General features: G+C 51.1%; 1 non-coding gene across 1 annotated transcript; it reads left to right on the top strand.

The window, feature by feature from the left end:
- The first annotated feature begins 240 nt into the window (after positions 1-240).
- On the top strand, positions 241-292 carry MIR1268A (microRNA 1268a). Its single transcript, NR_031672.1, has one exon. It is a non-coding gene; the product is annotated as a microRNA 1268a (primary transcript).
- The last annotated feature ends 289 nt before the right edge of the window (positions 293-581 follow it).

The following is a 581-nucleotide window of genomic DNA, read 5'->3' as shown; positions in this document are numbered from 1 at the left end:
CCCAGGAGTTTGACACTAGCATGGGCAACATGGTAAGACCCCATATCTACAAAAAAAGAAAAGAAAAAGATAAAAAAAGAAAAATTAGTCCAGCGTGGTGGTGGGTGCCTGTGGTCCCAGCTACTTGGGAGGCTGAGGTGGGAGGATTGCTGGAGCCCAGGAGTTTGACACCAGCATGGGCAACATGGTGTAAGAACCTGTATCTACAAAAAAAAAAAAAAAAAAAGAAGAAAGAAAAGTTAGCCGGGCGTGGTGGTGGGGGCCTGTGGTCCCAGCTACTTTGGAGGCTGAGGTGGAAGGATCACCTGAGCCCAGGAGGTGGAGGCTGCAGTAAGCTTAGATTGCAGCACTGCGGTCCAGCCTGGGTGACAGAGTGAGACCCCATCTCAAACCAGAAGCACCAAAAGGTGTCTGAGGTCAGGCACGGTGGCTCACGCCTGTAATTCCAGCACTTTGGGAGGCTGAGGTGGGTGGATCACCTGAGGTCAGGAGTTCGAAACCAGCCTGGCCAACATGGAGAAACACCGACTCTACTAAATATGCAAAAATTAGCTGGGTGTGGTGGCACACACCTGTAGTCC

Source organism: Homo sapiens, chromosome 15 (genome assembly GCF_000001405.40).
Source record: "Homo sapiens chromosome 15, GRCh38.p14 Primary Assembly".
Classification (NCBI taxonomy): domain Eukaryota; kingdom Metazoa; phylum Chordata; class Mammalia; order Primates; family Hominidae; genus Homo; species Homo sapiens.
The sequence above is the reverse complement of the archived record's forward strand: the minus strand, read 5'-3'. Positions and strand labels throughout refer to the sequence as shown.